Source organism: Homo sapiens, chromosome 1 (genome assembly GCF_000001405.40).
Source record: "Homo sapiens chromosome 1, GRCh38.p14 Primary Assembly".
NCBI classification, from domain to species: domain Eukaryota; kingdom Metazoa; phylum Chordata; class Mammalia; order Primates; family Hominidae; genus Homo; species Homo sapiens.
In genome coordinates this window covers 46,968,220-46,982,885 of record NC_000001.11, presented here as the reverse complement: position 1 = coordinate 46,982,885, position 14,666 = coordinate 46,968,220, and the positions used below count along the sequence as shown (strand labels likewise).

At 39.3% G+C, this 14,666-nt stretch overlaps 1 protein-coding gene across 1 annotated transcript in view, besides 1 other annotated feature; it reads right to left on the bottom strand.

Annotated features, from left to right (window-relative positions):
* The window catches only part of CYP4X1 (cytochrome P450 family 4 subfamily X member 1), a 94,069-nt gene that overhangs the window by 72,547 nt on the left and 6,856 nt on the right, over window positions 1-14,666 (bottom strand). The window lies entirely within an intron of this gene.
* Window positions 14,175-14,366: a silencer, noted in NCBI's record as "fragment chr1:47434192-47434383 (GRCh37/hg19 assembly coordinates)". NCBI's record gives its function as "represses an EF-1alpha promoter that drives an FKBP-Casp9 reporter gene in an ReSE screen in K562 erythroleukemia cells {active_cell/tissue: K562}" and the evidence as "EXISTENCE:reporter gene assay evidence [ECO:0000049][PMID:32094911]".

Here is a 14,666-nt window from a genome sequence, read left to right as displayed (position 1 = left end):
GATGGGGAGGTAACAAAAAGCCTGAGCTCACTCCAGGATTGTAGTGTGCAGCCCAGGAGTGCCAAGCTGAGATCTACAGCCAGCACCTGAGTGGGACAGAAGCCCACATGCTCAGAGCACTGAGAAGGAGCACAGCTGCAGATGTGAGGAAATATATAGGAGCCACATGGCTGAGCAAGAGCCTACCTACTGGCCATTATGCTTAAGTGTCATTACTGGAACGCAGCCCTAACTTCAACACCAAATATACTTTCTTAATATAACTCCCTGTGAAATCAAGGACAAGAATCCTGCCACAAATAAAAAGCCTGCCCAAAGCCTCAGCCCTCTGAAAACATCCAGAAACAAAGCCAATTGACTACACTACTCCACAGTTAAAAGAACATCAGCCCACACAAGATGAGAAAGAACCAACGCAAGAACTCTGGCAATTCTAGAAGCCAGAGTGTCTCGCTACATCCAAATGACCATGCTAACTCCCCAGCAATGGTTCTTAACTAGAAAGAAATGGCTGAGATGACAGAAAGAAATGGCTGAGATGACAGACACGGAATTCAAAACCTGGATGTTATCAAATATCGAGATTCAGGAGAAAGTTGAAACTCATTCCAAGGAATCAAAGGAATTCAGTAAAATGATTCAAGAGATGAAAGATAAAATAGGCATTTTAAGAAAGAACCAAACTGAGCTAATAGAGCTGAAAAAACATAGTACAATAATTTTATTATTACACAAATGGATTTTTTTCTTTTTTTATTATATTTTAAGTTCTAGGGTACATGTGCACAAAGTTCAGGTTTGTTACATATGTATACATGTGCCATGTTGATTTGCTGCACCCAGTAACTTGTCATTTACATTAGGTATTTCTCCTAATGCTATCCCTCCCCCATCTCCCCATCTATGACAGGCCCTGGTGTGTGATGTTCCCCACCCTGTGTCCAAGTGTTCTCATAGTTCAATTCCCACCTATGAGTGAGAACAAGTGGTGTTTGGTTTTCTGTCCTTGTGATAGTTTGCGCAGAATGATGGTTGCCAGCTTCATCTATGTCCATACAAAGGACATTAACTTATCCTTGTTTAAAGCTGCATAGTATTCCATGGTGTATATATGCCACATTTTCTTAATCCAGTCTATCACTGATGGACATTTGTGTTGGTTCCAAGTCTTTGCTACTGTGAATAGTGCCGCAATAAACATACATGTGCATGTGTCTTTATAGTAGCATGATTTATAATCCTTTGGGTATATACCCAGTAATGAGATGGCTGGGTCAAATGGTATTTCTAGTTCTAGATCCTTGAGGAATCACCACACTGTCTTTCACAATGGTTGAACTAGTTTACACTCCCACCAACAGTGTAAAAGTGTTCCTATTTCTCCACATCCTCTCCAGCACCTGTTGTTTCCTGACTTTTTAATGATCGCCATTCTAACTGGTGTGAGATGGTATCTCATTGTGGTTTTGATTTGCATTTCTCTGATGACCAGTGATGATGAGCTTTTTTTCATGTGTCTTTTGGCTGCATAAATGTCTTCTTTTGAGAAGTGTCTGTTCATATCCTTTGCCCACTTTTTGATGGAGTGTCTGATTTTTTTCTTGTAAATTTGTTTATGTTCTTTGTAGATTCTGGATATTAGCCCTTGTTAGATGGGTAGATTGCAAAAATTTTCTCCCATTCTGTAGGTGGCCTGTTCACTCTGATGGTAGTTTCTTTTGCTGTGCAGAAGCTCTTTAGTTTAATTAGATCCCATTTGTCAATTTTGGCTTCTGTTGCCATTGCTTTTGGTGTTTTAGTCATGAAGTCCTTACCCGTGCCTATGTTCTGAATGGTATTGCCTAGGTTTTCTTCTAAGGTTTTTATGGTTTTAGGTCTAATATTTAAGTCTTTAATCCATCTTGAATTAAATTTTGTATAAGGTGCAAGGAAGGGATCCAGTTTCAGCTTTCTACATATGGCTAGGCAGTTTTCCCAGCACCATTTATTTTTAAATAGGGAATCCTTTCCCCATTTCTTGCTTTTGTCAGGTTTGGCAAAGATCAGATGGTGTAGATGTGTGGTGTTATTTCTGAGGCCTCTGTTCTGTTCCATTGATCTATATCTCTGTTTTGGTACCAGTACCATGCTGTTTTGTTTACTGTAGCCTTGTAGTATAGTTTGAAGTCAGGTAGTATGATGTCTCCAGCTTTGTTCTTTTTGCTAAGTATTGTCTTGGCAATATGGGCTCTTTTTTGGTTCCATATGAACTTTAAAGTAGCTTTTTCTAATTCTGTGAAGAAAGTCATTGGTAGCTTGATGGGGATGGCATTGAATCTATAAATTACACCTTGGGCAGTATGGCCATTTTCACGATATTGATTTTTCCTATCCATGAGCATGGAATGCTCTTCCATTTGTTTGTGTCCTCTTTTATTTCATTGAGCAGTGGTTTGTAGTTCTCCTTGAAGAGGTCCTTCACATCCCTTGTAAGTTGGATTCCTAGGTATTTTATTCTCTTTGTAGCAATTGTGAATGGGAGTTCATTCATGATTTGCCTCTCTGTTTGTCTGTTATTGGTGTATAAGAATGCTTGTGATTTTTGCACATTGATTTTGTATCCTGAGACTTTGCTGAAGTTACTTATCAGCTTAAGGAAATTTTGGGCTGAGATGATGGTGTTTTCTAAATATAAAATCATGTCAACTGCAAACAGGGACAATTTGACTTCATCTTTTCCTAACTGAATACACTTTCTTTTTTTCTCTTGCCTGATGGTCCTGGCCAGAACTTCCAACACTATGTTGAATAGGGGTGGTGAGAGAGGGCACCCCTGTCTTGTGCCAGTTTTCAAAGGGAATGCTTCCAGTTTTGCCCATTCAGTATGATATTGGCTGTGGGTTTGTCATAAATAGCTCTTATTATTTTGAGATATGTTCCATCAATACCTAATTTATTGAGAGTTTTTAGCATGAAGAGTTCTTGAATTTTGTTGAAGGCCTTTTCTGCATCTATTGAGATAATCATGTGGTTTTTGTCATTGGTTCTGTTTATGTGATGGATTAAGTTTATTGATTTGCATATGTTCAACCAGCCTTGCATTCCAGGAATGAAGCCAACTTCATCTTGGTGGATAAGCTTTTTGATGTGCTGCTGGATTCGGTTTGCCAGTATATTATTGAGGATTTTCGCATCGATGTTCATCAGGGATGTTGGTCTAAAATTCTCTTTTTTTATTGTGTCTCTGCCAGGCTTTGGTATCAGGATGATGCTGGCCTCATAAAATCAGTTAGGGAGGATTCCCTCTTTTTTGTATTGATTGGAATAGTTTCAGAAGGAACAGTACCAGCTCCTCTTTGTACCTCTGGTAGAATTCGGCTGTGAATCTGTCTGGTTGTGGACTCTTTTTGGTTGGTAGGCCAGTAATTATTGCCTCAATTTCAGAACCTGTTATGGGTCTATTCAGTGATTCAACTTCTTTCTGGTTTAGTCGTGGGAGGGTGTATGTCTCCAGGAATTTATCCATGTCTTCTAGGTTTTGTAATTTATTTGCATAGAGATGTGTATAGTATTCTCTGACGGTAGTTTGTATTTCTGTGGGATCAGCGGTGATATCCCCTTTATCATTTTTTATTGCGTCTATTTGATTCTTCTCTCTTTTCTTCTTTATTAGTCTTGCTAGTGGTCTATCAATTTTGTTGATCTTTTCAAAAAACCAGCTCCTGGATTCCTTGATTTTTTGAAGGGGTTTTTGTGTCTCTATCTCCTTCAGTTCTGCTCTGATCTTAGTTATTTCTTGCCTTCTGCTAGCTTTTGAATGTGTTTGCTCTTGCTTCTCTAGTTCTTTTAATTGTGATGTTAGGAGATTGATTTTAGATCTTTCCTGGTTTCTCTTGTGGGCATTTAGTGCTATAAATTTCCCTCTACACCCTCCTTTAAATGTGTCCCAGAGATTCTGGTATGTTGTGTCTTTGTTCTCACTGGTTTCAAAGAACATCTTTATTTCTGCCTTCATTTCGTTATGTACCCAGTAGTCATTCAGGAACAGGTTGTTCAATTTCCATGTAGTTGTGCAGTTTTGAGTGAGTTTCTTAATCCTGAGCTCTAATTTGATTGCACTGTGGTCTGAGAGACAATTTGTGGTAATTTCTGTTCTTTTACATTTGCTAAGGGGTGCTTCACTTCCAACTATGTGGTCAATTTTGGAATAAATATGATGTGGTCCTGAGAAGAATGTATATTCTATTGATTTGGGGTGGAGAGTTCTGTAGATGTCTATTAGGTCTGCGTGGTGCAGAGCTGAGTTTAAGTCCTGGATATCCTTGTTAACCTTCTGTCTCATTGATACATCTAATATTGACAGTGGGGTGTTAAAGTCTCCCATTATTGTGTGGGAGTCTAAGTCTCTTTGTAGGTCTCTAAGGACTTGCTTTATGAATCTGGGTGCTCCTGTATTGGGTGCATATATGTTTAGAATAGTTAGCTCTTCTTGTTGAATTGATCCCTTTACCATTGTTGTAATGGTCTTCTTTGTATCTTTTGATCTTTGTTGGTTTGAAGTCTGTTTTTTCAGAGACTAGGATTGCAACCCCTGCCTTTTTTTTGCTTTCCATTTGCTTGGCAGAACTTCCTCCATCCCTTTATTTTGAGCCTTTGTGTGTTGCTGCACATGAGATGGGTCTCCTCAATACAGCACACTGATGGGTCTTGACTCTTTATCCAATTTGCCAGTCTGTGTCTTTTAATTGGAGCATTTAGCCCATTTACATTTAAGGTTAATATTGTTATGCATGAATTTGATCCTGTCATTATGATGTTAGCTGGTTATTTTGCTCATTAGTTGATGCAGTTTCTTCCTAGCATTGATGGTCTTTACAATCTGGCATGTTTTTGCAGTGGCTGGTACTGGTTGTTCCTTTCCATCTTTAGTGCTTCCTTCAGGAGCTCTTGTAAGGCAGTCCTGGTGGTGACAAAATCTCTCAGCATTTGCTTGTCTGTAAAGTATTTTATTTCTCCTTCTCTTATGAAGCTTAGTTTGGCTGGATATGAAATTCTGGGTTGAAAATTCTTTTTTTTAAGAATGTTGAATATTGACCCCCACTCTTTCCTGGCTTGTAGAGTTTGTGCCGAGAGATCAGCTGTTAGTCTGATGGGCTTCCCTTTATTGGTAACCCGACCGTTCTCTCTGGCTGTCTTAACATTTTTTCCCTCATTTCAACCTTGGTGAATCTGACAATTATGTGTCTTGGGGGTGCTCTTGTCGTGGAGTATCTTTTTGTTGGTCTCTGTATTTCCTGAATTTGGATGTTGGCCTACCTTGCTAGGTTGGGGAAGTTCTCCTACATAATATCCTGAAGAGTGTTTTCCAACTTGGCTCCATTCTCTCGGTCACTTTCGAGTACACCAATCTGATGTAGATTTGATCTTTTCACATAGTCCCATATTTCTTGGAGGCTTTGTTCATTTCTTTTTACTCCTTTTTCTCTAAACTTCTCTTCTTACTTCATTTCAATAATTTGATCTTCAATCACTGATACCCTTTCCTCCACTTGATCGAATTGTCTACTGAAGCTTGTGCATGTATCACATAGTTCTCGTGCCATGGTTTTCAGCTCCATTGGGTGATTTAAAGTCTGCTCTACACTGTTTATTCTAGTTAGCCATTCATCTAATCTCTTTTCAAGGCTTTTTGCTTCCTTGTGATGGGTTTGAACATCCTCCTTTAGCTCAGAGAAGTTTGTTATTACTGACCTTCTGAAACCTACTTCTGCCAACTCATCAAAGTCATTCTCTGTCCAGCTTTGTTCCATTACTAGTGAGGAGCTGTGATCCTTTGGAGGAGAAGAGGTGCCCTGGTTTTTAGAATTTTTAGCTTTCCTGCTCTGGTTTCTCCCCATCTTTGTGGTTTTATCTACCTTTGGCCTTTGATGATGGTGACCTACAGATGGGGTTTTGGTGTGGGTGTCCTTTTTGTTGATGTTGATGCAATTCTTTTCTGTCTGTCAGTTTTCCTTCTAACAGTCAGGTCCCTCAGCTGCTGGTCTGTTGGAGTTTGCTGGAGGTCCACTCCCAACACTGTTTGCCTGGGTATCACCAGCAGAGGCTGCAGAGCAGCAAATATTGCAGAACAGCAAATATTGCTGCCTGATCCTTCCTCTGAAAGCTTCATCTCAGAGGGGCACCCAGCTGTATGAGGTGTGTGTTGGCCCCTAGTGGGAGATGTCTCCCAGTTAGGCTACAGTGGGGTCAGGGACCCACTTGAGGAGGCAGTCTGTTCATTCTCAGAGCTCAAACACCATGCTGGGAGAACCATTGCTCTCTTCAGAGCTGTCAGACAGGGATGTTTAAGTCTGCAGAAGTTTCTGCTACCTTTTGTTCAGCGATGCCATGCCTACAGAGGTGGAGTCTACAGAGGCAGGCAGGCCTCATTGAGCTGCGGTGGGCTCCACCTAGTTCGAGATTCCCTGCTGCTTTGTTTACCTACTCAAGCCTCAGCAATGGTGGATGCCCCTCCCTCAGCCAGGCTGCCACCTAGCACTTCAATCTCGGACTGCTGTGCTAGCAGTGAGCAAGGCTCCATGGGCATGGGACCCACGGATCCAGGCGTGGGATATAATCTCCTGATATGCCTTTTGCTAAGATCTTTGGAAAAGTGCAGTATTTAGGTGGCAGTGTCCCAATTTTCCTGGTACAGCCTGTCACGGCTTCCCTTGGCTAGGAAAAGGAAATCCCCAGACCCCTTGCACTTCCCAGGTGAGGTGATGCCCCACCCTTCTTTGGCTTGCCCTCCATGGGCTGCATCCACTGTCCAACCAGTCCCAATGAGATGAACCAGGTACCTCAGCTGGAAATGCAGAAATCACCCATCTTCTGCATCGATCACACGAGAAGCTGCAGACCAGAGCTGTTACTATTTAGCCATCTTGGAATGGATCCCACAATTGGAATTATCAACAGCAGAATAGACCAAGCTGAGGAAAGAATCTCAGAGCTCAAAGACCAGTTCTTAGAATTAACTCAAATAAAAATAAAGAAAAAAAATTTTTTTGATGAACAAAATTAGAGAGATATAGGATTATGTAAAGAGCCCAAGTCCATGACTCACCAACATGCATGAAAGACAGGGAGAGAGAACAGCAACTTGGAAAACTTATTTGAGAATATTGTTCACAAAAATTTCCCAAGCCTCACTAGAGAGGTTGCCATGCAAATACAAGAAATTCAGAGAATCCCTGCAAGATACTATATAAGATGGCCATCCCCAAGACACATAAGTCATCAGGTTGTCCACGGTCAACACAAAAGAAAACATATGAAATGCAGCTAGAAAGAAGGGGCAGGTCATCCTCCAAGGGAACCTAATCAGGCTAAGAGTAGACATTTCAGGAGAAAATCTACAAACCAGAGGAGATTGGGGTGTATATTTAGCACCCTTAAAGAAAAGAAATCCCAACCAAGAATTTCATATCCAGCCAAACTAAGCTTCATAAGCAAAAGAGAAATAAAATCCTTCTCAGGAAAGTAAGCACTTAGGGAATTCATTACCACCAGAACTGCCTTACAAAAGGTCCCAGGGGGGTGCTAAACATGGAAATGAAAGACCATTGCCAGCCACTACAGAAACACACTTCAATACATAGACCACAACACTATAAAATACATAACAAGTGTACATAACAACCAGCTAACAACATGATGACAGGATCAAAGGCACATATCAATATTAACCTTGAACGTAAACAGGCTAAATACCCCACTTAAAAGTGAGAGCATAAGAGGATGACTGCAGGCAATAATAACTCAATCATACACTTAAAAATACCTAAAATGATGTAACTGGATTTTTATGATACAAAGGATAAATGCTTGAGGGGATAAATACCTCATTCTCCATGATGTACTTATTATGCACTACATGCTTAGATCAAAACATCTTGTATACCTCATATATATATACCCTTACTATCTACCCATAAATATTAAAAATTTTAAAAAGCACAGAGTGGCAATTTTTATTTAAAAAAATTTAAAAAGCAAGACTCAACTGTATGTCATCTTCAAGAGACCCATCTCACATGCAAGGACATCCATAGGCTCAAAGAAAAGGGATGGAGAAAGATCTACCAAGAAAATAGAAAACAAAAAAGAACAGGAGTTGCTATTCTTATTTCAAATGAAACAGATATTAAACCAACAATGATTAAAAAAGACAAAGAAAGGCATTACACAATGATAAAATGTTCAATTCAACAAGAAGATTTAACTATCCTCAATATACATGCACCCAACACTAGAGCACCTATATATATAAATAAAATAAGACCTTAGAGACTTATGAAGAGACTTAAATAAACACACAGTAATGGTGGGATACTTCAACACCCCACTGCCGATATTGGACAGATCATTGAGGCAGAATACTAACAAAGGTATTTAGCTCTTAAACTTGACACTTGACCAAATGAGCTTTACAGACATCTACAGAACACTCCACCTAACAAAAACAGAACATACATTCTTCTCCTCTGCACACAGCACATACTCTAAAATGGACCCTACGCTTGGTCATAAAGCAATTCTCAACAAATTAAAGAAAAAACATACACACCAAAGTGATACCAAGCACATTCTCAGACCACAATGCAAGAAAAATAGAAGTGAATACCAAAAAAACTCTCAAAACCATACAATTACATGGAAATTAAACACTCTGCTTCTGAATAACATTTGGGTAAACAATGAATTAAGACAGAAATCAAAAAATTGTTTGAAGCTAATGAAAACAAAAATACAACATATGAGAATCTCTGGGACACAGCTAAAGCACTGTTGAGAGAAAAGTTTATGGCACTAATCACTCACATGAAAAAGTTAAAAGATCTGAAATTACCAACCTAACATAACACCTAGAGAAACTTGAAAAACAAAAGCAAACCAATTTGAAAGCTAGCAGAAAAAAATAATAACAAAAATCAGAGAGCCAAATGAAATGGAGGTGAGAAAAAAACACAGAAAAGATCAATGAAAACAAAATTTAGTTCTCTGAAAGAATTTATAAGATTGACTGACCACCAGCTAGATTAATATAGAAAAAAGGAAGATGATCCAAATAAACACAATCAGAAATGACAGAGGACGTTACCACCAACCCCACAGAAATAACAAAAACCCTGAGACTACTATGAACACATCTATGCACACAAACTAGAAAACCTAGAATAAATGGATAAATTCCTGGAAACACACCACCTCCCAAGATTGAACCATGAACAAATTTACACTGAACAAAATAATATCAAGGTATTAAATTGAATCAGTAATAAAATATCTACCAACCAGAAAAAGCTCTAGACCAGACATATTCACAGCTGAATTCTACCAGAGGTATAAAGAAGAGCTGGTACCAATCCTATTGAAGCTATTCCAAAAAATAGAAAAGGGAGGGACTCCTCCCTAACTCATTCTACGAGGCCAGCATCATTCTGATACCAAAATCTGGAAGAGAAACTTTGAAAAAAGAAAACATCAGGCCAATACCCCTGAGGAACACAGAAGCAAAAATTCTCAAAAAAATATTAGCAAACTGAATCCAGCAGCACATCCAAAAGCTAATATATCACTATCGAGTAGGCTTTGGTCCTGGGCTGCAAGAGTGGTTCAATACATACAAACCATTAAATGTGATTCATCACATACACAGAAATTTTTAAAAACACATGATCATCTCAATAGATGTAGAAAAGGTTGTCAATAAAACTCAACATTCCTTCATGTTAAACCCTCAACAGACTAGATATCAAAGGTACATACCTAAAAAAATAAGAGCTATATATGGACAAACCCACAGTCAGCATCATACTAAATGGGGAAAAGCTGGAAGCATTTCCCTTGAGAATCAGAACCAAACAAGGATGCCCACTCTCAACACACCTATTCAACATAATACTGGAAATCCTAGCCAGAACAACCAGACAAAATAATAAAAATAAAAAGGCATCCAAATTGGAAAAGAAGTCAAGCTATCTCTCTTCACAGATTATATGATTCTATACCTAGAAAATTCCATACTCTCTGTCCAAAGGCTCCTAGATCTCAGAAACTTCAGCAAAGTTTCAGGATACAAAATCATTCTATAAAAATCACTAGCATTTCTACACACCAGCAGCATCCAAGCTGAGAGCCAACTCAGAAATGCAATCCCATTCACAATAGCCACAAAAAGAATAAAATACCTAGGAATACAGCTAATCAGGGAGGTAAAAGGTCTGTACAAGAAGAATTATAAAACACTACTGAAAGAATCACAGATGACTCAAACAAATAGGAAAACATTCCAAGCTCATGGATATGGAGAATCAATATCGTTAAAATGGTCATACTGCCCAAAGCAATTTACAGATTCAATGCTATTCCTATCAAACTACTAACAACATTTTTTCACAATTAGAAACAACCACTCTAAAATTCATTTGGAACCACAAAAGAGCCCAGTAGCCAAAGATATCCTAAGCAAAAAGAACAAGCTGGAGGCATCACACTACCTGACTTTAAAATATACTGCAAAGCTACAGTAACTAAAACAGCATTGTACTGACACAAAAGCAGAAACATAGACCAATGGAACAGAATAGATAAGTGAGTAATAAAGCCTCACACCTACAACCATGTGATCTTCGACAAAGCCAACCAAAACAAGCAATGGGGAAAAGGACCCTCTATTCAATAGATAGTGCTGAGACAACTGGCTAGCCATGTGTAGAAGATTTAAACTGGACCCCTGTTTTTCATCATATACAAAACTCAACTCAAGGTGGATTAAATATATAAATGTAAGATATGAAACTATAAAAACTCTGGAAGAAAACCTAGAATATAATACCATTTTGGCCATAGGCCCTGGCAAATAATTTATGATGAAGACTCTAAAAGCAATTGCAACAAAAACAAAAATTGACAAATGGGATCTAATTAAACTAAAAAGCTTCTGCACAGCAAAAGAAATTATCAACAGAGTACATGGACAGTCTACAGAATAGGAGAAAATATTTGCAAGGTATGCATTTGACAGAGGTCTAATATCCAGAATCTATAGCAAGCTTAAATTAACAAGCCAAAAAACAAAACAAAACAAAAAAACCAACCCCATTAAAAAATCAGCAAAGGATTTGAACAGACACTTCTCAAAAGAAGATATACATGTGGCCAAGAAAATGAAAAAATACTCAATATCACTAACTATTAGAGAAATGCAAATCAAAACCTCAATGAGAGATCATCTCACACAAGTCAGAATGGCTATTTTCAAAAATATCAAAAAAACAACAGATGGTGGCAAGTTTGCAGAGAAAAGGCAATGCTTATATGGTGCTGGTGGGAATGTACATTAGTTAAACCACTGTGGAAAGCAATCTGGAGACTTCTCAAAGAACTTAAAATAGAACTGCCATTTGACCCAGCTATCCCATTACTGGTATATACCCAAAGAAATATAAACCATTCTATCATAAAGACACATGCACGCATATGTTCATCACAGCACTGTTAACAATGGCAAAGGCATACAATCAAACTAAATGCCCATCAACAGTGGACTCAATAAAGAAAATGTGGTACACATACACCATGGAATACTGTGCAGCCATAAAAAGAATGAGATCATTTCCCTTGCAGCAACATGGATGGAGCAGGAGGCCGTTATCCTAAGAGAACACAGGAACAGAAAACCAAACACCACGTGTTCTCACTTATAAGTGGGAGCTAAACATCGAGTACACATGGACACAAAGAAGGGAATGGATACCATGGCCTACTTGAGGGTGGAGAGTGGGAGGGGGTTAAGGATCAAAAATTACCTATTGAATACAATGCTTTTTATCTGGGTGACAAAATAATCTGTACAGCAAACCCCTGTGACATGCAATTTACCTATCTAACAAACCTGCACATGTACCCCTGAACCTAAAATAAGAATTTTTAAAAAACATATAATGGACAACAAAATTTCAAAAAAGAAAGAATTAAAAAACCACCTCTCTGAGTTGTGCCTTCACACCAGGGGTTTTTAAGGAAAATTAGGAAAACTGTAAGTAATAGTCAAAGCATTCTTGTGCAGCAGCTGCGTGTGCAATCTCAGGGAGGCACTTAATTGTTGCTGTCTTGGTTAGCATCTTATGACCTTCTGCAGGTGCCACAAGACTATTATCTGGTGGTTAAAACAGCTGGTCAACTTGTTCCCAGAATTCCTGCACAGCACATTTCTCTTTTACCACTGTTGCAGGTCTGGCTTTTCTGAGGCTGTTTTTAATGATTAGTCTATAAACTTAAAGCAGCAATTATCCTCAAGCAAGCAAAATTTTTCTTTAACATAGACTCAATATTGTAACATTCTCAATAGGATCAAGGTGAGTCTTCCTGTATGGTAATGGGAGTAGGGAAGGAGGCAGAGTCTCTGGGCCCCTATGTTCATACGTGGCATCTTCAGTTTTGTCCTTGAATGTTGGTGTTTGTAAGAAAACGACCTTGTGTAAATGTCTCTTGCACTAAAGAAAGGTGGCATTTCAGAGAACACCATGGAGTCATTGCTCCTTCTCCTGTTTCCCAATGGCCAGCCAGCATTTACTGTCAGTGGGTCTTCCAAATTTCACTGTATCCTAGTGTTTTCTTCACTTTAGAAATATGACTTGTCAGAATTAGATAGTACATAATAAATTCAACTTCAGGTGTTTGTTTTTCTCAATTTTCAAAAATATTAAGGAGTTGATTTCTCTCTCTCCTCACATACTCCCAATGCAGCACACCACCTTTTGACTTAATTCACCAGTCTACATAGAGTTGAATCATTGAAGTCTTTGCCTATGTTTAGAATTCAGACACCTTGCTAGTCTTACTTTTGGAGTCATACAAATGAAAGGTTAACAAAGTCCTTTGCAAAAAGTTTTAACCGATGTGTGTTGTCTCACACACTTGGTTATCTTGCCCAACAAAATTTTCACTACATAGTAATGTTCATATAATTACATCTCCATTTCCATTTGGCAAGTTCTGTACACCCAGTAGAATCTCTGTACCATAGTCCTATATTTCACTTAGCACATCATTAGCAAAAACATAAAAATGACAATAAACTGACTGTGGGGAAAGGCCTTTTTAGGATATGCTACATAGCCTTTAAATGCTCCTCGTATGTGAAATACAGAAGACACATAATATAGCTGTTGAACTGGACAGGTACACTCTATAATTGCTTCTGTGGAAATCTTCAAAGACTGCAGGAATCGTCCTGAGAAATATGAATGCCAAAAACAATGTAAATAGTAGAAATAAGTTTTTTAGAAAAAGTAATTTATGAGAATCCTTCCAATGATGAATTCACTTTCCCAGAACAGGTTTTAAGCAAATTGTTCTTCCAGAAAGTCCTTTCTCAGCATTGGTTTATCCCAGGATGAGTACTTCCTCCAAAATATTGGCTGCCAATTGGTTTGCTGCCACTAGAGGACAGGACGAGTTCCATTAGACCACTCTTGCATTGCTATAAAGGATTATCTGAGACAGGGTAATTTATAAAGAAAAGATATTTATTTTACTCATGGTTCATCAGGATGTACAAGACATGAAGTGCCAGCATTTGCTTCTGGTGAGGGCCTCAGTAAGTTTTCACTCACGGCAAAGGCGAAGGGGAGCCAGCATGTCACGTGGTGGGAACAGGAGCAAGAGAGCGGGTGCAGGGAAGTCCCAGACTCTTTTAAAGAACCAGATCTCCTGTGAACAAACTGAGCACTCACTCACTGATCACCAGTGGTATAGTGCTAAACCATAATGAGGGATCTGCCCCCATGATCCAATCAACTCCCACCCAACCCATCTCCAAAATGGAATCACATTTCAACATGAGATTTGGAGGGGACCAACAGCGAAACCATACCAAGAGTATTCAGCAGCACAAATTCGAGCTCAGAACTAATACTGACTCTCACTGTATTCCATTCTATTTCATTCATTTTCAAAACCCAAGTAATGTCATTTAAATATAACAGTATCTATTAAGCCTGTGTCTGAGGGTAAAGTCCCATACACCATGATGGGAAAACAAAGATACAAGGCACTGCTCTTGCCTCTAAGTACAGTCAAGGACAAAACGTGTTATATAGAAACACATCCTGTGCTTCAGACAAACATTGCTCCCTCATCCATCCTTTCACTCACTCACTCACTCACTCACTCAATCACTGAGTGCCTCGTTGAGTGTTCATGGTGCTATCCTAGGCACTGGACTGTGACTGTTCATGGATAAGGGAAAAAGCTGCCTTGGGGTACTGGGGAGGGAGAGGCACAGCCAGCAGAAGGTGAGAGGCAGGTCCCTGGCCATAGCCTTGAGGATGTTACAGGCAGTGGTGGAAGGAGAATGTTCTCAGCCATCTCTACATGTATGGGACAAGGACATGGGCTGCACAGGTAAGAGGTGGGCGAGGCAACAGTCCATGGAGGGCTGGCTGACAGCTGGGGCATTAGGATGCTGCCCAGCTGTGATGAAGAGCATGGGAGGGTCTAAGCTGGGATGTGGCTTCAGTGTGGAGAAAGGGGAAGCAGGGACGCCAGAGAGTCCAGGCAAGAAGATTGTTGGACAACAAGGAGGGACATTTCTGGAGTAGAATTATAAGGCTACAGGCATGGGTAATGAAGGAGTAAGG